This window comes from Homo sapiens, chromosome 12 (assembly GCF_000001405.40).
Source record: "Homo sapiens chromosome 12, GRCh38.p14 Primary Assembly".
In the NCBI taxonomy this organism is placed as follows: domain Eukaryota; kingdom Metazoa; phylum Chordata; class Mammalia; order Primates; family Hominidae; genus Homo; species Homo sapiens.
In genome coordinates, this window is record NC_000012.12 from 3,411,657 (window position 1) to 3,434,086 (window position 22,430).

Below are 22,430 nucleotides of genomic sequence, written 5' to 3' on the forward strand. Positions count from 1 at the left end.
CCATTGGGAGATAACTAGAATTAGATAAGGTCATCTTATCTAATGGGTCAAGGGGCCCCATGATGAAACTGGTGGCTTAATAAGAGGAGAAAGAGAGATCTGAGCTGGCACGCTCTTGCCCTCTCACCATGCTGTGATGCAGGAAGGAGGCACACACAAGGTGCCAGAACCTTCATGTTAGACTTCCCAGACTCCAGAACTTAAGAAATAAATGTCTTTTCTTTATGAATGACCCGGTCTCAGCTATTCACTTATAGCAATAGAAAATGGACTAACTGTACAGTCAGCCCTCCCTAACCATGGGTTCCTCATTGGTGGGGTCAACCAATCAAAGATTGAAGATACAGGCATGCATTGTTTAACAATGGGGATATATTCTGAGAATTGTGTTGTTAGGTGATTTTATTGTTGTACTAACGTCATAGAGTGTACTCACACAAACCTAGATGCTATAACCGACTGCACACCTAGGCTATCCCTACTGCTCCTAGGCTACAAACCTCTACAGCATGTTACTGTTCTCAATACTGTGGGCAATTGTAACACAATGGTAAGTATTTGTGTATCAAAACATCAAAAAGGTACAGTGAAAATATGGTATAAAAAGTTAAAAATTGTACACCTGTACAGGGCACTTACCATGAATGGAGCTTACAGAACTAGAAGTTGTTCTGTGTGAGTCAGTGAGTGAATGGTGAGTAAATGTGAAGACCTAGAACTACTGTGAACTTTACAAACACTACACTTAGGCTACATTAAGTTTATAAAAAATGTTTTCTTTCTTCAACAAAAAATTAACTTTAGCTCACTGTAACTTTTATACTTTACAAACTTTAAATTCTTAAACACTTTTTGACTCTTTTGTAATATCACTTAGCTTAAAGCACACATTGTACATCTGTACAAAATATTTTCCTTTTTTATATCTTATTCTATAACCTTTTTCTATTTAAAAATTCTCTCTCTTTTTTTTACTTCTTAAACCTTTTTATTAAAAACTAAGAAGCTGATATGGTTTGGCTGTGTCCCCACCCAAATCTCACCTTGAATTGTAATAATCCCCATGTGTCAAGGGTGGGGCCATGTGGAGATAACTGAATTATGGATGCGTTCCCTTATACAAGATTTTTGTATTTTTAGTAGAAACAGGGTTTTACCATATTGGCCAGGCTGGTCTCGAACTCCTGACCTCATGATCCACCCACCTTGGCCGCCCAAAGTGCTGGGATTACAGGTGTGAGCCACCATGCCCAGCTGCATTTTATTTGCTTTTCTAATTACATTCCATGAGGCATTGGTCTGCCATAGCAATCCTGGTAGCAAAAGCCCTCTAGGCTTCTTTATTTTACATTTTTGAGTTCTAAACATTGTGTCTGAAAAATGTAGGGGTAATTTGAGGTTCTAGGTGATGTGATTTTCCTCCAGAAAGTATATACGCTTGCTTCTGGCTGTTAGCTAGTCCAAGGGTAGGCCACCTTAATTCAGCCAAGAATTGGCTGAATTGTTTGTATTTTTAGTAGAGATGGGGTTTTACCATATTGGTCAGGCTGTTCTCATGGTAGTGAATACGTCTCACAAGATCTGATGGTTTTATAAATGGGAGTTCCCGTGAACAAGCTCTCTTGCCTGCTGCCATATAGGATGTGTCTTGCCTCCCCTTTGTTTTCTGCCATGATGGTGAGGCCTCCCCAGCCATGTGGAACTGTGAGTCAATTAAACCTTTTTCTTTGATAAATTACCCAGTCCTGGGTATGTCTTTATTAGCAGTGTGAGAACAAATGAATACAGATGCAAACACGCATAGTATCCTAGGCCTACACAGGGTCAGGAGCATCGATATCACTATCTTCCACTTCCTCATCTTGTCCCACTGGAAGGTCTTCAGGGGCAATAACAGGCAACGAGCTGTTATCTCCTATGATAACAATGCCTTCTCCAGGACTACCACAAACCCATGAGTAATGCATTGTGCCACAATGTTACAATGGCTAAATGTCACTAGGAGATAGAAATTATTCAGTTCCATTGTAGTCTTGTGGGACTACCATTCCATATGCGGTGTGTCGTTGACCAAAGTGTCATGTGGTACATGACTGTATTCGGGGGAAAAAAAACCAATAAAAAATAATGCAAATTAAAAATACAGTATAACAACTATTTACATAAAATTTACATTACATTATATACTATAATCTAGAGATGATTTAAAGTATACGGGAAGATGTGTATAGGTTATATGCAAATACAACACCATTTTATATAAGGGACTTGAACAACGACAGATTTTGGTATTCACAGGTGTCCTGGGACCAAATCCCCCATAGATACAGAGGGATGACTGATTTATGTATCGAAAGACCAAAAAGACATAGGTCAAATTGTTAGTAGTGGTTCTCTTGAATGATTGGAATATAGGTGAGTTACTCATTGTCTCTGTGCTTCTTGTATTTTCTAAATTTTCTATAATAAATATGGATATTTTGTATTTTAAAAATGCTAATTTTGTAAAAGATGACTGCCAGGTAATAGTAGTCAATCAGGAAAGGCAGAAAAGGCAAGAAAGCTGGAGAAAAAGGTGATAATATGGGAATAACAAACCTGGATTCTTCCTGCTGCACTCCCCAAAAGTCTCACCGCACTTCTGACTCCAGATGTCTGGGTGTTTCTCCCCATCGACAAGCAAGCCATCCTCCAGAAGGGACACCTGCTGGTGTCCTCCAGTTCATTTCAATTCCGACACTATCTGAGATTCCCTTGACCTTGACACTCTTAGTGGTGGGAACTGGAGTGGCTTGTTTCACTCAGCCTGTCAATGGCTACTTTTCTTGAGAAGGAGCCTGCAAGCGAGTGTGGGAACCGGAGTGAATGGAATGATGGGACTGGTCAGTTGCTTCTCTCTGGCTGGAGCAGGCTCTGTTGAGGCCCCGCAGCAGCCTCCAAGCCCCTGCTCCCTCAATATCTGGGTTCTTGTCCGGCATCCAGAAAGAATCAGGTCACACAAATAGATTGAAGGGCAGTGTATGCAGAGGATGATATTGGGCGATAGAAGAGGCTCTTGGTGGGATGGGGAGTTGGAAAGGGGATGGTGTGGGAAGAAGGTGATCTTTTCCTGAAGCTGCACCATCCGAAGTTAGGTGAGTCTCTCCACAGTCTCTGATGCTCAGTTGTATCTCTGCTTGCTGCTCAGCCTCTTGTATCCCCACTGCTCAGTCGCTTGTGTTGCTCTACCAGCTGCAGTCTTTTTATGAGCACAGGATTTGGGCATGGCAGGCCAAAACAGCAACATTTGGGCAGAAAAACCAGGTCAGCTGTTTCACTTAGGGCCAAAGTTCCAGGCTTAAGGGTGGGGTTTAGCCAGCCCCCATTTCCAATGCCAAACCCAAGCCCCAGGTTGGTTTACCTGTGCTTCTGACCCACCGGCTATACATTGGGGTTTCCTCAGCCTCCTCCTTAGGTCTGATTAATTGGCTGGAGTGGCTCACAGAACTCAGGGAAACACTTACATTTGCCAGTGTATTGTAAGGGCTATCACAAAGGGTACAGATGAAGAGATGCATGGGGCGAGGCATGGGGAAGGGACATGGAGCTTCCACGCCTTTCCTGGGTGCCACTCTCCAGGTGCCTCCACTTGTTAAGCTTTCTGGAAGCCCCCCGAACCCAGTCCTGTTGAATTTTTATGGAGACTTCAATACATAGGCATGATTAACTAGATCATTGGCCATTGGTGATCAACTTAACCTTCAGCCCCTCTCCCTTCCCTAGAGTCATGAGGTGGGGCTGAAAGTCCGAACCCTCTAATCCTGTCTTGGTTTGAGTGACCAGCCCCATCCTGAAGCTACCTAGGGGCTGCCAGCCACCAGTCAATCATTAGCATACAAAAATACATCACTTTGGAGATTTCCAGGATTTTAGGAATTGCATGTCAGGAAACTGGATGAAGACCAAATAAATATTTCACACTATCACAATATACCAGAAACTGAAAAATTAGATCTCCCATGAGACCCATAGAACAGTGGAGGAAGGAAGGTGGGGCTACAGAGAGATGATTGCAAAATAACATCCAAGAGCTGGAAAGGAATCAGTACATCTTCTCCAAACCCCTCACTGTCGTTGTATGCATGCAGACACGCAGGCTCAGGAGGCCACATGGCTTGCCATCGAGTTAGTGACAGTGCTGGGTCAGGAGCCAGGTCTCCTGATTCCCAGGCCAGTGCTCTTTCCGGAGGAGCTTGTGGAGTAAATGTGAGCTGGGGTAATCACAGGGCTCTCCCCGCAGGACAGGGACAAACTAGGGCTGCCTGTGCAGGATCACTTGATCTAGCCGGACCTTCTCAGGTAGAGGAATTGCCAGAGACATGGCTGTTGGTGGGAGGTCCTCCATTTGGCTGGTGAGAGATGAGCTTCAACAGGGATGGCAGTGTCTATGACGCCTTTCTAGCATAGCACTCAAAAGCCTCCTCGGCCTGCCTAGGTCTCCTCGCTCCACGGGCCTCTCCTCTAACTCCTGTAACCCCCTACAACTCTGTTCTGGTGGCTTCATGCTGAGTTATGACCTTACTGCCCCTAAATAGGTTTGTGTCTTTGCTGACATCATCCCCTATCAAGAGATTTTTTTCCACTCCCTCTCTCCTACCTGAAATCTACCTACCCCTCAAGGTGTAATTCTAATCCTCACCATCTTCAGCTAGTGGAGCCCAAGTGTCTCATGTGGAGAGGATCCTCCAGGCTTTGCATTTTTCTTTGGCTGGTGTCAGTCTTCTTGCAGAGATGCTAAGGTCTGGAAGGCAGGAATCAATTCTCCATTTGGTGGCGTGCTCCCAGACATGGAGGAAAATGTCTTGTATGAGGCAGGCACTAAGTAAACACTTGTGGAGTCACTGGTGGGCTGTTGGAAAGAAATGTGTGAGAGGCTGGGGCACATCCAGAAGGAGCTGACAGAGGATTTTGAAGAGTAGTGGGCAGCACAGAGCTCTTTACAGGAGCCTGTTAAAGGCTTTCTGCTGACTGCTTTTCCTCCCTTGATTCTGATGTCAGTTTCAGAAAGACTTAGGACCCTGAGTCAGGAGAGAGCAGATATTAGAAGGAGAAAAACAAGTTGTGCTGTTGAGGAAAGACAATGTCAGGAGGAAGCACTGTAGTGGAAACCCAGGTCTGGAGAGATTAGAAACTGCCTGGATGGAGATTGCGCTGCTGCAGGCTTAAGTACATTTTCTCAGATGTGGGGCAGGCTGGCCTTGAGAACAAAGAACAGAAATATGAGTTTGGGCAGAGAACAAACAGTATGTGAGATTTTTGGTGGCAAATAATGATAAGCCAATGTGCTTGGGTTTGGAAAGAGGGGCAACTTCCTGTTTAGCAGAGGGAACCTTATTAAGGGAACTATTATACTGATCTGAAGCCAGAGTTTTTCAGGTTTTTGATGACTTCCATTAAGTGCCTGAGCAGAGGCGTGTAATAGAATGGGGAAGCCAAGGAGATTTATAAACCAAGGATGTTTGAATGAGAAATGTGGAGTTCGTAAATTTTGGAGTCTCTTGTTGCCACACAGAGGTTTATTTGGGGGAAAGGATTTGGAGTCTATCATATTAGAATTAGCTGCTGTTGTGATCAGATTTCAGACAGCAACACAGGGGTGGGGAGAGAGAACAAATCTTGCCTTCCCTGGCTGGGGGATTTTGGCAGATTCTCAGAGGCTGGGCTCATAGGAATTAATTTGTGGAAAAGGGAGCCATGCAACATGAATTAATTCAAGGAATTATTGAGAATGCAGAGGAGCGTCCAGCTCTCATGTTATTCACAAAAGAATGAGGACACCGTGGGTTTTGGAAGTAGCTTTTAAAAGGCATCCAAAGCATCTCATGTTGGTGATATAAATGTTTGGGGAGGGTGAGAAAGAGGAGCTGGGTAGGGCAGGAGGAGCTTTATGTATCACTGAAGCAGTGTAATATAATTTAAAGAGGGTTGGTAATTTGACCCCAGCTTAAAATATGACCTGTACTCAGGAACTCAGCTCCTGAAACTTCACCATCAGGTCTTCATTCCATATTGTCACTCGTACTTCACTCCAGTGAGGTTTATGGGATTATTTTTCCCATTATTGAAGGGACTTTGAATGGCACCTGGGAAGAGAAGAGATGAAGAAGAGACAAAAATCCCATGCACTCAACTTGTTTTGCCTTGAGAGTGACCTTGAATGTGCTCTATCTTCAGAGAGGCCTGATTTGAAGCCACCTGCCTGGTTTCATATCCCGGCTCTGCTCCTTACCAGTTGGGGAACTTGGGGCCAGCTATTTAACCTCTTTGTACTTGCATTTCCCCACTGGTAAAATGAAGAAAAATGGTCATACCTACTTCACAGGTTGTGAGGATTAAATGAGTTCATGCATGCAAGATACTTAGAACAGCTCCTGTTACATAGCAAGTACTCAATAAACATTCTCTATCATTCTTTCTAGCTTTCAGGATGGCAGCACCTGCTGTTCTGAAAGATTTTCCCATCTAGGCCCCAGCCAAGTGCAGAAGAGTTCGAGGCTGAGGTTGCCAGGGGAAGCAGACATTTCTGAGTTCTCCATTTCTCAACTGCAAACACCTTGAAAGCCTCTTCAGCCCTTTCCTTAGCAACCTTCACAGCTTATTCTAAGTCCCGTGTTTAAGAACTTGGAATTGCAAGGTGTTTTAGAGGCGGTTTTTTTGCTGAAAAAGAAAAGGGGGCATGGCCTGAGTGTGGCTAAGGCAAATGCTCTGGCAGGACAGTGCCAATCTTGGTTCTTGTCATTCTTTGATGAGCTTCTGCTCCACATGGGTGACAGGATGGGCTGGTCCTATCCTCCAAGCTGGTCCAGCCCATGGCTGCTGATGCCAGTGCTCTAGCCAATCATCAGAAAGGCTTGATACTGATGCTGCAAGGGGCATCCTGCTGCAATCTTCCCCCATTTTGTGGCTTCAGGCCCACTCCGTGTGTGGAGGCGGGGATTACTCTAGTTGTCAACTTTGACTCTAGCTACCTCACCCCACTTTACTGGGTCCTAACTTCCCCTCCCCACCTGAGATGCTCTGCCAGTTTCTCTTTCAGGTCATGGCTGGAGCAGACCCAGGAAAGCAGTGTCTTCGGTGGCTTTTGCCTCCTCTGGAGGAAGGGTGGGTGGGGCTGGGCTGGCTGCTTGAAGAGGAAAAGGATGAGGGTGTGTTGGGGAACAGGTGTGCAGAAATGGTGAAGTGGCATGGAAGATGGAGGATTTAAATGTTAAAGGGTGGGTAGAAAATGTACCAAGATATTTTGAGGGCTAAATTTGTTCTGGAAGTTAAATGTATAGAATGTGATGAATCAGAGGAACAAGAGGCACTTAAGATTTTTAAAGCCGTTGGGTTGCCCAGGCGATACACAGACGTTTTGTGGATGGTTTGTTATTAGCAGTAAACATTTACATAGCACTTCACCTCCTCAAATATTCGTCCATAAAACCCTGGAATGGTAGTGACGGCCAGAAAACCAAGACCCAGGGAGGAGGATTTGCTCAAGGTCACAAAGCTGGTTTACAGCTGAGCTGACGGGAGAGCCTCGGTGTCTTGGCTTTGTGCTGCTACCTGCCAGGGGCTTCCGCCTTGCTTAGATAGCTTGCTTTGCAATACCCAGTGAGGAAGGCGGAAGCAGACTGGCTACAGCCTTCAGCTGGAGGAACAGAGAGCAGGGAAGGGGAGTGATCTATTGACCAAGGAGAAAGCTGTATCTGACCTATCTGCTTCCAGACCTACCTTCTGAGCCCTCGAACCCTGAAGCTGCATGCTTTCTTTTACCTGCTCATCTACCTGGGCTGTCTCTCTTGGAAGATGACACTGCTGAGCTCCCAGCTTCCCAAGCGGCTTGACTTCTCCCCTTTGCCCCCTCGCCACCCACCCCTTGCCTAAGCAATCACCAAGACCTTGAATTCCTTCTGTTTAGTATTTGATTTGCTCACTATTCTCCATCCCCGCTACCACTCTCTGTCTACCACAGAGCCTACTAATTAGCCTCTTCACCTCCACTCTTTATTCCCTCCTATCCATTGTACTTCCAAATACCTAATCAGATCACTCTCCTGCTGAAAACCCTTCCAGGGCTCTCAATGGCCTCGAGTTAAATGAAGCCCAGACACCTCATCACAAGGCTCGCATCCTTTCTCCTGGCTTGTCCAGGGCATGGCCTCACACAGCACCCCAGCCAGAAGGATGCTCAGTTCCCTGACCTCATCATGCTGTGAGTATGTTGGTGATGGAGCCAGAGGGAGCCAAGAAAGATCACAGGAATGGGGGGGTGGTTTGAGGGGGAGAAAGAGGGAGAGGGGGAGAGGGGGAGAGGGGAGAGGGGGAGAGAGGGGAAAGAGAGAGAGAGAGACAGACAGAGAGAGAGAGAGAGAGAGAGAGAGAGAAGGGCTGAGCCTGGCTGTACTGAACCAGTGGCCAACATGGAGGAACCCACCTCATATGGGATGTTCTCAACTCAAGAGCATTGGCACGAGCCTCAGAGGTGGGTGTTGTCCATCAATGCAAGGCGGCAGACTCAAAACTCTCTCTCTCTCTCTCCAGACAGCTCATCCTGATTTGGTGACCAAAGCACAGCGACCCATAACAAGTGGGACATTTCTTACTGGCTGTGTGATACTGAGTGAGTCACTTAATGTAATGAAGCCATGGGCCTCAGTTTCCTCATCTGTGAAATGGGGATAATAGCTGACCTGCTGTGCAGATGTCTTTTTGTTTGTCTGTTTTGGTTGCACAGCCTATGAACCCCCTTCCATATTGGGGACCCCCTTTGTATGAGCCTCCATGGTGGGAGTGGACTGTTTCCCACTGAGAAGCTGAAAAAGCCAGACGCTGTGACAGCCTCCCAGCAGTGAGAGAGTTAGGTGTTCATGTCTAGGTCTTTGCAACTTAAGGGTAATACAAAGGTGCAGGCCCCACTGAGAATCATTCCAGTAGAGGCAGTGGGTTGGGAGGGTGGCAGTGACAATGACGGTGGAGGCGGTCACCACGGTGTCCAGCTCAGTCTCTTGCTGCAGCATGAGCTTGCTTGCTTTCTTCCATGCTTTCTAGTCATGTCTAGAACAGCCTGATTTCCTCCCAGTAAGTTCCATCTGTGCTCTTTAGCTGACCAGAGTCCGTTTCTGTGGATAGATGAAATCGAGTCTTGACTCAAATACTCACCTACTCACAGGGCAGTGAGGGAGAAGCAAAATGTGGAGCTGGGGCTGCTTCAGTGAATCTGGAGTGCAGTTCCGTGGGGAAGGGTGAAGCCCTGGGACGGGGAGCACAGCATCTACTGCATGTTTTCAGTCGAGCTGGAACCTGAGTCAAAAATCACATCAAATATCAGGCATTCCACTGGGAGGAGACGATATTGTGACTATGCTTTGGAAAGGACAAGGAAAATATAAGACTTTCTTACCAATAGAGAGCCCTCCCACTCCTCCTCCTCCATGTCTTAAATTTAGCTTAAAAACATAATTGTTTTTTTAAAATGAGGAAAGGCACATGTCCATTCCCATAGATCGTTAGCATCGAGGAGCAGACATTTATTTCTGTGCCGTGCCTGTCGGGTCTCAAATCTGGCTTTGGCAGCCTCCCAAGTCATTTTTATCTGGTGGGACAGAAGGACACTCCTGCAAGCCATGCTCCAGCCTCGGCTTCCTCTGGGTTAGGCACATTCCACGCTAAGGTCTGGGCTTCACTTGGCAGAGCAGCAGAAGCAGATTCCCTTGCTCTCCAGCCATCACCATCCTGCCGGGGGGTGGGGTGGTGGATCCAGGGGCTTATATCTGTTTGCTTAGATCCTGGGTCCTCAGGAGCTGGTGCCAGGACCGGTGGGAGACTGGGCTCCAGCCATCTGTCACGTGAAATGGTCTGGGCCACATATAAAAGACACGGTTTTCATATCCCATTACCCAAATGCTGTTGTTTTGGCCACTTTGGAAAACTTTGAGACACAAGAGCCTGATATGTGTCCCTGGGGACAAATAGGACTTGCTGTTGAGTCCTCACCCTGGCTCCCCTCCCGGTTGACTGCCATCTCTGGGAAACAGGCACTTTGATGACACCACATTTAATCGCAGCATTTTGGTTTTGTTTTAGTGTTTGAAAGAGCAGGTTGTCAGGCTGACTTATGCAAAAGCAGAACCATTAACCTCACAAAGAACTCAGAGCCATGAGCAACGGGATGGAGGCTGAGGCTGCTGAGGTAGTTTGCAAGGTCTCTCTCTGCTGCTGCAGGGAAACTCACCACTGCGCTGCTGGCCTGCTACTGGGGTGGGCTCCAGCTCTGGGCAGCATGGCCCCCCTCCTCAGTGCACTCCCAGGGGCCAGCCTACATGGAGGCTTCTGGTTCCAGGGGGCAGTGGGTGGGGTGGGGCCATAGGGAAAAGGCTCTGATCTGGGACACTGGAAGGGGTACATGTCCACCTGAGTTATGGAGCAGTCCAGCAGCCTGCATTCCCTTCAGCTCTTTGGGCCTCAGTTTTCTCACCTGTAAAATGATCCCCAAGTGCATTTCTAATTGTAGCTTTTCTTTGGTGCTTGTTATTTCCCACCAGCCTCTGAGGTGTCAGCTCCACCTGCCAACCTTCGTGGTTACCTGGACAGAACTTTGGTATCATGTAGGAGGACAAGCATGGGTTTTGGAATCAGGCAGGGATCTGTGCTTAAATTTTGGCTTTGCCTCAAATTTAATTTGTGTAGCCTCAGCTGTAGCAGCACAAGCTGCAGACAAGAACCCTTCAGACACCAAGTTGTAGAAGGAAAGGGCTTTATTCAGCTGGGAGTGTTGGCAGACTCACATATCCAAAAACCGAGCTCCCCGAGTGAGCAATTCCTGTCCCTTTTAAGGGCTTACAACTCTAAGGGGGTCCGCGTGAAAGGGTTGTGATTGATTGAGCAAGTGGAGATATATGACTGGGGGCTGCATGCACCAGTAATCAGGACGGAACAGAACAGAACAGAACAGAAGAGGGATTTTCACAAAGCTTTTCCATACAATGTCTGAAATCTATAGATAACACAAGCAGTTAGGTCAGGGGTTGATTTTTAACTCCCAGGCCCAGGGCGCAGTGCTGGGCTATCTGCCTGTGGATTCCATTTCTGCCTTTTAGTTTTTACTTCTTTCTTTGGAGGCAGAAATTTGGCATAAGACAGTATGAGGGGTGGTCTCCTCCCTTATTCTCTCCCTTTGAGAACCTCACTTATTAGTGGGAGTTTTCACTTTTATCACTACCCACGTCTTCTTGCAAGACAGATCAATAGTGATTCATATAGTACACTTGTGCTGAAGCATTTTGGTGAACTAAGGTAGCGATGAAGCTTTTTGTTATTTGAAGAAGTACAGGTAGCAAACAAGGGAGCAGTAAGCAGTTCTTATTACTATTATAACTTCTATTACAAGAGTTTTAAATCCTCCTAGCGCTGGGAACCATTTTTCAAACATGGCCCCAGGATCAAATCCATGCCACACTTGCACAGGCACATGTGCCAATTTTGTCATATCTCTAACTATGTCTTCAACTACTTGCCCTGGATCATCTATGTGTAGACAGCAATTAGTAAGGTTAAAATTCCCACAGACCCCTCCTTCAGCTGCAAGTAGTTGAGAGCCAATTTATTTTGATAGATAGCATTTCTCATTTGAGTTTCTTGCCGGGCCAGAATGGTCAAGGCTCTGCCGGTTTTATTAGTGATTATTTCTAAGACAGCTTGTAACCGTATGATTTGGTTGAGCATGTAAATGGGGGTCTGGTATCCCCATGAGCCATCTTGTGCTCAAGTAGCAGGCCCATAATATTGTATGATTTTCTCAGAGGGCCATTTTTCATCTTTCCAATTTCCTATAGCTGTGCTTTTCTTTCCGTGAGAAGCATAGACAGGAAGGCCCAGGAGTTCACCTGTCTTTATGGGCAGTAGGAAGAAAGATGGTTTAATAGTGCCAATAACACAACCACCTGCCCACTGGTCAGGTAATTTGGTGTAAGCTCTATGCCCACATATCCAGTATAATCCAGTGGGGGCCATCCAGTCCCAGTGGGACTCTGGGTGGGTCCACACGGTTTGTAACTTTGGGAATTTACCAAATGGATTCCTTTCTGTGTGATTTGAACTCCACCAAGTGACTGTTTTTGTGGTACCATTATACGGTTTCTGTCCCAGACAACTAAGTCATCCTATGGGGTGAGTGAATTCTTTTCCTTCTCTAGCTATGCAATATTGTCCAATAATTGAGGCTTTCAGGACCCAGAAATTATTAGGGTGATTTTTTTGAGCCGGGAATTCGTCAGGAACTGGGTCTGTAGGTACTAATTCTCAGGCTTCCCATGGCCATTGATTTCCCATTACAGGTTCTCCACATACATAACATGAAGTGACATTGAGAGACTGGGCTACATGCTTGGCTAATTGCAAAACAAATTTCTTATTTTTCCTGGAATTTCTGGTACTGGCACATTTAGTTCATCATAGAAAGTTTGAAACACTGGCTCAGGAGAGTGTTTGTAAACTTCTCCTCAAACTAAGATATTTACTCGAGGATCCAGTCTGGCCCCATCGATTCCTAAGGTCACACGCTCCCCTTTTTTCCAGCGAGGATTAAGGGGATTGGTTATTACTAGCTCTAAGGGGTTACATTGTCCCTTAGTACAGGAAGGGCTACTTGTTCCTTTCTGAAGGTGGACTGGATCCTTTTCATTTTTTATCCAAGTGGCGCAAATGACGCAAGACCAGCATCCACATTCATTTTTACAGAGTCCTAATTCGTGACAAATGTACTTATTTTCGGTCATATAGCCTTTTTTCCAATTAAAAGAGCCATATCCCCTTCCTAACTTACTGCTATTAATGATAGCACAGGCATCAAATTTCAAGATTATGCATTTGGGGACCCCTTTTTCTTCTGTTCTAGCTAATACTTTACTTGTATCATTTACGAGTCCCTACCAGTCTTCAGTCCTTGATCTTATTTTAAAAGCTGTGGACATGGGAGGCTCAGAGGGGTCATAACACACACTGGCCAGTTGTTTCCTGGGCTACATACCTTGTATAGCATTAAAGAAATAATTTCCTTTTAGGGTCCTTGTTCACTTATAATAACCATAAAATAATAGCACTGTAGCAACCTTTTGTCCTGCCTCAGTGACTTGATGTATATACTGGGAACAGTCCTAGATCAGTTGAAGTCCTTACTGTACAAGTCCAAATTTTAAGGAAAATGAGTCCCGCGATGAGTTTCCTCATGCTTTGGCCATGCGTGGACCAGTCAGCTTCCGGGTGTGACTGGAGCAGGGCTCATCATCTTCCTCAGAGTCACTTTGCAAGGGTTGGCGAAGCTGCTCCTGTCCACTTGCTGCTCCCAGTTTACTGATGTTCAAGGATGGTCTTGGAGGTTGGGCCTGCTAGAATAAGCTGGGTCCAACACCTCTACACAGTTATGTTCAACTGGGCTCTCTGATACCGGGAGCAAGGTGGCAGGGTTCAGAGTATTGCAAACTTCGATGGTTATGTGGGAATTTTCACATAGCAAGCTTTGGTATCTAGTTAGTCTAGTACTTGTTAGCCATTGATGTCCTTTGGTATTTATTAAAGTCACCACAGCATGGGGGGTCTTTATGTTTAGGTTTTGCCCAAGAGTTAGCTTATCCGCTTCTTGTGCTAGCAGGGCTATTGCTGGCAAGGCCCTCAAACATGGGGGCCAACCCTTAGAAACCCCGTCTAGTTGTTTAGAGAGGTAGGCCACTGGCCTCGGCCAGGGCCCCACAGTCTGGATTAAAACTCTAACTGCCATTTTTTAAAATTTTCTCTTTGACACAGATAGTGTAAAAGGTTTTGTCAGGTCAGGTAGCCCCAGGGCTGGGGCTGACATGAATTTGTCTTTTAACTCATGAAAAGCTCATTGCTGTTGGTTGTAATAGATGTAGTTTATTTAGTTTACATTTTATTAACTGTCACCTACCAAAATATTGACTTAAATTCTGCAGCTATTTGATTTTGGGCTTTAATTGATCAGGTATTTCCCATGGGACTCCAGCTGCATCTAAATAGATGTGAGTGTCGAAAGGCGAGCTTCTCTCGCTTTACAGTGTCTTGTTTTTCTCCCTCTGGTTGATGAAATGCCAGGGTGAAAGGGATAGCCAATTGGACTAAAGAACAAGTGCCACTCCAATTATTCGGCAGAGTGCCCAGTAAAGGCCTACCACACATCCGCTCAGGGATGAACAAGGGCTGACTGATTGATAAGCTCTTGAAAATTCTTAAGCTCACTGCATCCCTTCAGGTCTCCAAGGAACGTTAAGTTTCCTCCCTGTTGTGAGAGACATGAAGTGAACTTAATGTTGGGAGACGGAAGCTGGATGGCCCTCGGGGGCTGACCCGCAGGGTGCAGGATTTCGGGATATAGCAGAGAGAGAGCTTGGCAAGACTTGTTACCCTAGGCTGTAGAATCTTGGAAAAGAGCTACCATGCAGCCCATGCCTGGGTGACTGGAGGACCACCCTAGTGGAAAGGGGACAATGTGGGCCTCTGGCCTGCTGTGCGCACAAGTATAACAATTGCTTTTGCTTAATGTGTGGACAGAGTATTTGATCCATTCCAACCTGGCATTTGCATCTTGGTATCCTGTCTTAACTGCCAAAGTTTGTTTTAAGTCTTTAACTTCTATGATCCTCTAGTAAAATGAATGTATGATTTTAGGAAACTACAAAAAATGGTGGGGGCAGTCCATCCTTGCTCTTTAGTGGTCCACAGAACGTTGGACCAACTATGGCATAAAAGCTCTACATCTGGGGGCAAGACTACTGGTTGATATCGAGGTCTTTATTGAAATCTCCCTGGATTAAATGGTCCTAATTTACTAATGCCCAGTCTGAGGAGAGTCAGGAGGGATAGAGGTACTTTTCTGAAGTAGAGAGCTGTCTTTGACTTGGCAAGTCCCCACAGGATATAACAAGGCAAGCATTAAATGCAATAGTTTGAGGCGAAATTGACTTGGTTATGTTAATAACTAGATGGTCAGCAATAGAGTGAGGAAAGAAGAAACAATCATAGAATAGATGAAAGAGAGTTAAATTTTTCTTAGCTTTAATTTGGTAGGGTTTTCCCCTGAGACTATGCCCTACAACTCTAGAGGGGGTGGCGCTTTCTTGACTCGGTTGTGGTGAGTCTATCCCCTTTCTGCTGTATGAACAGCAGTCTCGGTGGTTAGCAGCACAAGGTAGGGTCCTTCCCAGGCTGGCTCGAGTTTTCCTTCTTTCCACCCTTTGATGAGAACGTGATCGTCAGGCTGGTGCTGGATTACCAGAAATTCTAGGGGTGGTGCATGTGCTAAACCAAGTATATAATTTTTAAGAAATTGACCTTTTGTTTTAAATGTGGGGACATCAGCAGTGGACTTTATAGTCCTTGGTGTCTTCTGACAAATTTCCTTTAGCACCTATTTTTATTAGTTTTTTAGACCAAAGAAAGCCAAACACCATTTTATATTTGACAATGTTTTCTGTATGATTTTTATACCAGATAAGCTGAATTTCACTTTTATATTAGTGTGTTATTAATGTTAAACTTAGTTTTAATAAAACCTTGTAGACATATTTATTTAATTTTTAATGTTTGACCATAAGGTAAAATTTTTATAGACTCTTTTTAACCTTTTATAATTTTTGTTAAAGAGCAGGTTAGTGCCTTAAGAAAAACCCATTGTGTTTTTATTTTAAAGTTCAGTTCACAGAAAAACTGGATGATACCCCTTTAACTTTAGTCAATATGTTTACACACAGAATTTTCTTTATAATTAACGTTTTAAAACTTGCTTAAACCTTCAAAACAAAATTTTTTAACCATTTAATGTAGGTAAAAATTCACATTCTTATGCCGTCTTGTAATTCTTTTACCAGAGGTATATTTTACTTTCCTTACACACCTTGCACATAAACTGTTTTTTTTTTCAATAGTTTTACATTCGGGAGGCCTAATTACTTTTAAATTATATAACATTTCTTGCATAAATTCTTTTTTTATAACTTTTTTTCACAACTTTTGCAGACAATTTTTTGACATGCCTCAATTTTCTGACTTATTACAAATATACATATTTTAAACAACTAGTTAATTTATTTCAGGACAAGAATTTACCATATAACTTTTTTTTACATAAATTCTGCTCCCCCTCTTTTTTTCCCTTTTTTCGAAGATAATCATTCTTTTCCAAAGTGAACTTCCTTTATGTCTGTGGACTAGACTGTCCAAAGCCACAAGATTAGAAGTTACTATAATACATGTTACATTGTTAACTTTTAGCAAATTTTACTTTTGTTGAAAACTTTGTAAGTTTGAGATTTCAATTATCCTTTGCTGTTAATAAGATCTTGTTTAGTCCAAATTAACTTAGAATTGGTATAGATGGCTTTTTAATTTTTCCCTTCAATTACCCTGGAGGAACCATCTATCATCCTGTCCTGAAGGGAGTTCCTCATAGGTCTGGTCGGACCTTTGTATGGTAATTAAGATTTAGATCTCCTGCTGGGAAACCTGCTGGGTTAAGGGAATTTTCAGTGGCTAATGTTATTAAATCATCTTTTTCTTTCTTTCTTTTTTTTTTTTAACACAATAGCCCTATACTTGAAGATTTTTAAGTTAGTAAGCTACCTTTTGTCCCCGCTTTTTTTTTCCCCTTAAGATACTTCTGAACTGGTGAGCTGTGCTGACAATGATGTTTCCTCTAAAAGTTATTTTTCTACTTTCTTCCGTTAGTGTAGCAGTTGCTTCTACAGACTGAATGTACTGGGGCCAGCTGCGGGTCACTGGGTTAAGGATTTTTGATAGGAAGGCTACAGGTTGTCAACGGCCTCAGTGCTTTCAGGCTATGCCCTTGTTTACACTGACAACAAGGTGGTATTGGAGTGTTATAGGGTCACGGAGAAGACCTTCAATGATCAATTATACGTTTTAAATTTACCCTGGCTTTTAAAGGAATAGGGTACACTTTTTTTTTTTCTTAACTACTTGTATATTTCTCTCTTTCTGTATTTCTTTCTCTCTTTGACTTTCTGTCTCTCTCTCTTTGACTTTCCTTTTGCCTCTGTCTCTTCCTCTCTCTCTGCCTCTCTCTTTCTCTCTCTCTCTCTTACCTTGACTCTGTCTTTGTCTCTCTGTCTCTTCCTCTCTCTCTGCCTCTCTCTATCTCTCTTACCTTGACTCTCTCTTTGTCTCTCTGTCTCTTACTCTCTCCGCCTGTCTCTCTCTATCTCTCTTTCCTTGACTCCATCTTTGTCTCTCTGTCTCTTCCTCTCTCCGCCTCTCTCTATCTCTTTCCTTGACTCCATCTTTGTCTCTCTGTCTCTTCCTCTCTCTCTGACTCTCTCTCTCTCTATCTCTCTTTCCTTGACCCCATCTTTGTCTCTATGTCTCTTCCTCTGTCTCTGCTGGTCTTTCCTTGCCTCTGTCAGCTGCTTATGCTGCTGTTCTCTCAACCACTGTGGGTGGGGCGGAGGGGGATGTCTAAAACCAGCTGTAACCAAGTGTCTATGTACAGGAACTGGTCTGGGTGCCCTGGCTTACAGGTTACCTTGTGCCATACCTTTGAAACAAGGGACCTGTTCAGGCTTCCTTCTGATGGCCAACCCACCTCTAATGCTGGCCAGCCTATTTCACACAAAGTTACTAAGTTTTCCTGGTGTCATGGTAACACCGTAATCTCCCTTAAATCCTTTCTTGAAATTTTTCAACATAGTTTCTAGTGGGGTGGGCCTACTTTGTGCCTGACCCATGCTTCCTTGAGACAAAACACCATGCTAACACCACACGCACACCACAAAACAAAGAACAGGTAAAAAGGGCACACACACACTTTTACAGTTTATACCAAATCTGAACCAAAACCATCAGAGTATCAAGAAATCCAAGCCAGGTCAAAACCAAAACCAAAGTATCAAGCAATCCAAGTCAAGTCACAAACAAAAACCAAAGTGACAGTACAGGCATGTCATGGGTGATCAGGCCACGCTTCCACTCAAATGGAGTGCACAAGTTCCAAAGACCAGTCTTACCAAGTTTCAGATGTCTGGACTCCCAAGTGCCAGTTCCTTCCCGGTGTTCAGCCACTGTGTTGATCTTCCGTGGGGGCCTCCCATGTGCTGCTCTGGTAAGGTGGTCCACCGGGGCAATTGCCTACCCAGGAGTGCTCTTTGGATCCGCATCACTCAGGCTGGTCAGAGTCCCCCACAGGGATGCTCCACAGGGCAGGCCTAAGCTGCCTAAGGGGCTGCCTCAACTGTCTGTTAATCACCTTGCTTCCAGGTCAGGGAACCAAGAAATGTAGCAGGATGAGCCACAGACAAGAACCCCTCAGACACCAAGTTGTAGAAGGAAAGGGCTTTATTCAGCTGGGAGCACCGGCAGACTCATGTCTCCAAAAACTGAGCTCTCTGAGTGAGCAGTTCCTGTCCCTTTTAAGGGCTTACAATTCTAAGAGGGTCAGTATGAAAGGGTCGTAATTGATTGAGCAAGTGGGGATATGTGACTGGGGGCTGCATGCACCAGTAATCAGAACTGAACAGAACAGGAAGGGATTTTCACGATGCTTTTCCATACAATGTCTGCAATCTATAGATAACACAAGCAGTTAGGTCAGGGGTTGATTTTTAACTACCAGGCCCAGGGCACAGTGCTGGGCTATCTGCCTGTGGATTCCATTTCTGCCTTTAGTTTTTACTTCTTCTTTCTTTGGAAGCAGAAATTGGGCATAAGACAATATGAGGGGTGGTCTCCTCCCTTACAACCAAGTTGATTGTTTCATATCTTGTTTCCAAATCTGTAAAATGAAGACAATATTGATTTCAGAGTATTCTTATGGTGATTAACTAAGATAACATTTAAAAAAATGCCTACCAGGAAACCATAAGTAGCTACCAAATAAACCTTAAGTCTCTTTCCCTTACCTTACTCCCTACCCATTTTAAAATTGTCAAGTGACGTAGTTTCACATCACTTAATTGTACTCATATTTTCTCAACCTTTCTAGTTTGGCAGCAAGAATTATTCATACTATAATATACTTGAGGCAGGGTTGACCCACAGAGTAGAACATTCATTCATTCATTTACTCGTCCATTCATTCATCCATCCAACATTTCTGGAGCAACTGCTAAGGCCCAGGCACTATGATAGTTGCTGGAAACACAGAAGCTAAAGACAGGGAGTTTATAGCCTAGTGGGGGACAATCTAATACAGCATCAGCAGGAGTAGAGATCAGTGAGCCTGGGGGACCTCTTGGAGCACTTGGGAAGAGTTTCAAGCCAGAAGCTGGGGCAGTGCCAGGCAGGTGTGCTGGAGGTGAGGCTGTTCGACTCTGGAGAGATGAGAGGAGTTAGCCAGGAGTTAGACATTTGAGGCTTTAGAGACAAGGAATATCCATATCCTGCAGGGCCTTGTGTGTCATGCTAAGGAATTTAGATTTGGTTTTGAAGGCAATGGCTAGCCCTTAGACAGAGGAGTGACATAGATTTTTGTTCTAGAAATACCCTTTTGCATTTCAGAGAATGGGCTGGGAGGAGGCAAGACTGAGACCAGTGAGAAAGTTACAGCAGTGGTTTGACTTGACCAGGGTGGGGGCCTGATCCAAAGCAGTGAGAGTGGGCACAGAGAGAGAGAGAGAGATCAGTAGCAGAGAGGGCACCAAACTGCAGTTACTAGCACTTGGGGACTATTTCAATGTGGGGCCGAAGGCAGAACAAAGATGCAGAATGACTTCCAGAAGGCAGAGGCCTCCAGATAGGCATGGCAGATGATGTTCACTGTGATGAGGAGCGTGGGAGGTCAGGATCAAGGAGTCAGAGGGGGAAGAGCCAAGTGTGAGACCTGGGGACATGCATGTTTCAGAGTTGGTGGAGGGGAGGGACCTGGAGAGGATGAAAAACCACAAGGGAATGGCATCCCAGAGATCAAGGAAAGATGGGATTCCAAGAAGGAGAGGTACGTAGTGTCAAAGGCTGCAGTCAAGCAAGGTAAGGGCTGAAAAATGTTACATATCAAAGGAGAAGCTCCCTTCTAGAGACATTGGCCAGAACTGTTTCCTCAGAGAGTCTGAGCCAAGGGTTGTGAACTGAATAGGGGGTGAGCAAATGGAGAAATGTATAGTGTAGTCTTCCAAGAAGCTTGTCTTGAAAGAGAAGGTGAGATATGGTGTGGCATCGCAGGGAGCTGGCTGAGGCTTGAGCATATTTACCTACTGGGAGGAACCTCGCTGGCAGCAGCAAGGAGGGGTAGAGAATGCTTTCGGCAGGCAGTGAGGGCATTAAAGGAGCAGGAATTTTTGCTTAAAGACAGAGGAGTTTGGAATAGACTGCAGAGTTTAAAGAATGCTGAAGCTTCTTTCTCAGCCTGTGGGGCAAGTGCCCCCAAGTCCCCCTAGAAGGGGTTGCGAGGAGACGTGGGATCCCTTCTCAGAGAAGGCCCGAGTTGAAGTGGAAGACCCAGATCAGAGGGGGTTTGGGCAGAGGCCTGGTGTGGCTGAGATGATGGTGATGGCAGGGAGAAGGCCACAATCTGACAGGGCTGCCCACAGCAGGCCTCACTGCAAGATGGAGATAGGGCTTTTTTTGGTTTCACTTTCCATTTTGCAGGAAGCAAGTCACCTTGCACTTCAGCCTGTGGAGGTGAACCCAGGACTGTGATTCTGCCATTCGGAGCATTGGCTGACTGCAGAGTAAGACACACGCTCAAGGAACTTAACTCTCTTGTTTGGGCAGAATGGAAACACTTTGAAATAATGGTTCAGGGAATTCCACCGGGGAAAGACAAAAGCAGGGTCAGAATGCAGAGGAGATGACATGCAAAGCATGTGATCCCAAGGCAGTGGGCAGTACCTGAGACTCCCGAGAGGGAAATCTGCCCAGCCCAGGCAGGAAGGGCTGGAGGGAGGAGACAGCTCAGGAGGCCGATGGGGCTGGAAAGCAGCAACAGGAGAGGTGAGAAAGGCTCTCTGGGCAAGAGGCTGCAGGTCTCGGTGCCTGCCTGGCCTTCCATTCTAGGTGCTCATCTTTATGGCCCGGTCATGTGACCCAAATTGTTCTCTAGCTCCAAGAAAAAATTCTTTTTTTGTGGTCTTCGTTTTGTTGGTTTTTGTTTTGTTTTGTTTTGAAAAAAGCAATGCAGTCACTTGGGACTCAACACATGAAATGAGGTGGTGAAAGTGTGGAAATGGATTAAAAATAGAGCAGGAACATTGAATCAACAGGTGAAAGGGATCGTCCTATTCCCAGAAGAAATGGCCATTCTCTTATAATCGTCCATAGATTTCTCTGGGACACAGACCTAGCAGTGGGATTGCTGATTTACAGAGTATGTAAATGGCTTCACAGGAAATGCCATACTGCTCTCCAGGATGTGCAATTTACAGCAGTCCCAGCGGCAGTCTTCAGAGATCCCACTCCCCACATCCTCTCCAATGCTTGGTGGTAGCTTACTTCCCACTGGCTGCTCATCTGATGGATGGAAAGTGGCCTCTTGTTTTGTGTTGTGTGTCTTTGATCAATAGTGAGGTTAGCATCCCTTCATGCATTAGTTAGCCTCCTGTGAATTCATATCCTTTGGACGATTATAAGAGGATGCCCATTGCAGTATTGTTTGCAGTAGCAGAGAGCTTTGACAGACATACCCTTCACCAGGGGAATGGAGAAGTAATGATAACAATGTCAGCTAGGGTTTTTCTTTTTTGAGCACTTATGTGCAAAGGATTTCTCAATGCTCTTCAGATACATACATTCAAAATTCATTTAATCCTCGTAACCACCCTGCAGTGTAGATACTCCTACTGTCTCATTTTATATATCAGGAATCTGAGGCACTGAGCAGTTACGTAATTTGCTCAAGATCACACAGCTGGTAAGTGGCAGAGTGGGATACAGTGGGGTGGACATAGTGGAAGTTAGAAACCATGAACTAGATTTAGTGACAAGATTTTTTTTTTTTTAGATGAAGTCTCGCTCTGTCACCCAGGCTGGAGTGCAGTGGCGCGATCTCGGCTCACTGCAACCTCGGCCTCCCGGGTTCAAGCAATTCTCCTGCCTCATTCTCCCGACTAGCTGGGGCTACAGGTGCATGCCGCCATGCCCAGCTAATTTTTGTATTTTTAGTAGAGATGGGGTTTTGCCGTGTTGGCCAGGCTGGTCTCGAACTCAGGTGATCCACCTGCCTCAGCCTCCCGAAGTGCTGGGATTACAGGCGTGAGCCACCATGCCCAGCCTAGTGACAAGATTTTTAAAAGATTTCATGTTGCATGAAAAAGTGAGATGCATAGCCCAACATTACTCTTATACGAGCACAGACATTCACAAAAAAACTGTTAGATGTTCTTCAGTGAAAAAACATTTGAGTGGGTCCCCATAGGCGGGAGCAGGAAGGGAGAATGAAAAGGAACGTGAAGAGC

At 45.1% G+C, this 22,430-nt stretch overlaps 1 protein-coding gene and 1 long non-coding RNA gene across 2 annotated transcripts in view, besides 1 other annotated feature; both read left to right on the plus strand.

Annotated features, from left to right (window-relative positions):
* PRMT8 (protein arginine methyltransferase 8) overlaps window positions 1-22,430 on the plus strand; it is a 212,625-nt gene that overhangs the window by 30,308 nt on the left and 159,887 nt on the right. The gene's annotated exons all lie outside the window — the stretch shown is intronic.
* Window positions 7,426-21,386, plus strand: LOC105369607 (uncharacterized). The gene is made up of 3 exons (XR_931556.3): window positions 7,426-8,236; window positions 8,566-8,644; window positions 20,626-21,386. It is a non-coding gene; the product is annotated as an uncharacterized LOC105369607 (long non-coding RNA).
* Window positions 9,549-10,184: an enhancer, noted in NCBI's record as "NANOG-H3K4me1 hESC enhancer chr12:3530371-3531006 (GRCh37/hg19 assembly coordinates)". NCBI's record gives its function as "activates a minimal SCP1, AML or CMV promoter by ChIP-STARR-seq in naive H9 embryonic stem cells {active_cell/tissue: H9 hESC(naive)}" and the evidence as "EXISTENCE:reporter gene assay evidence [ECO:0000049][PMID:30033119]".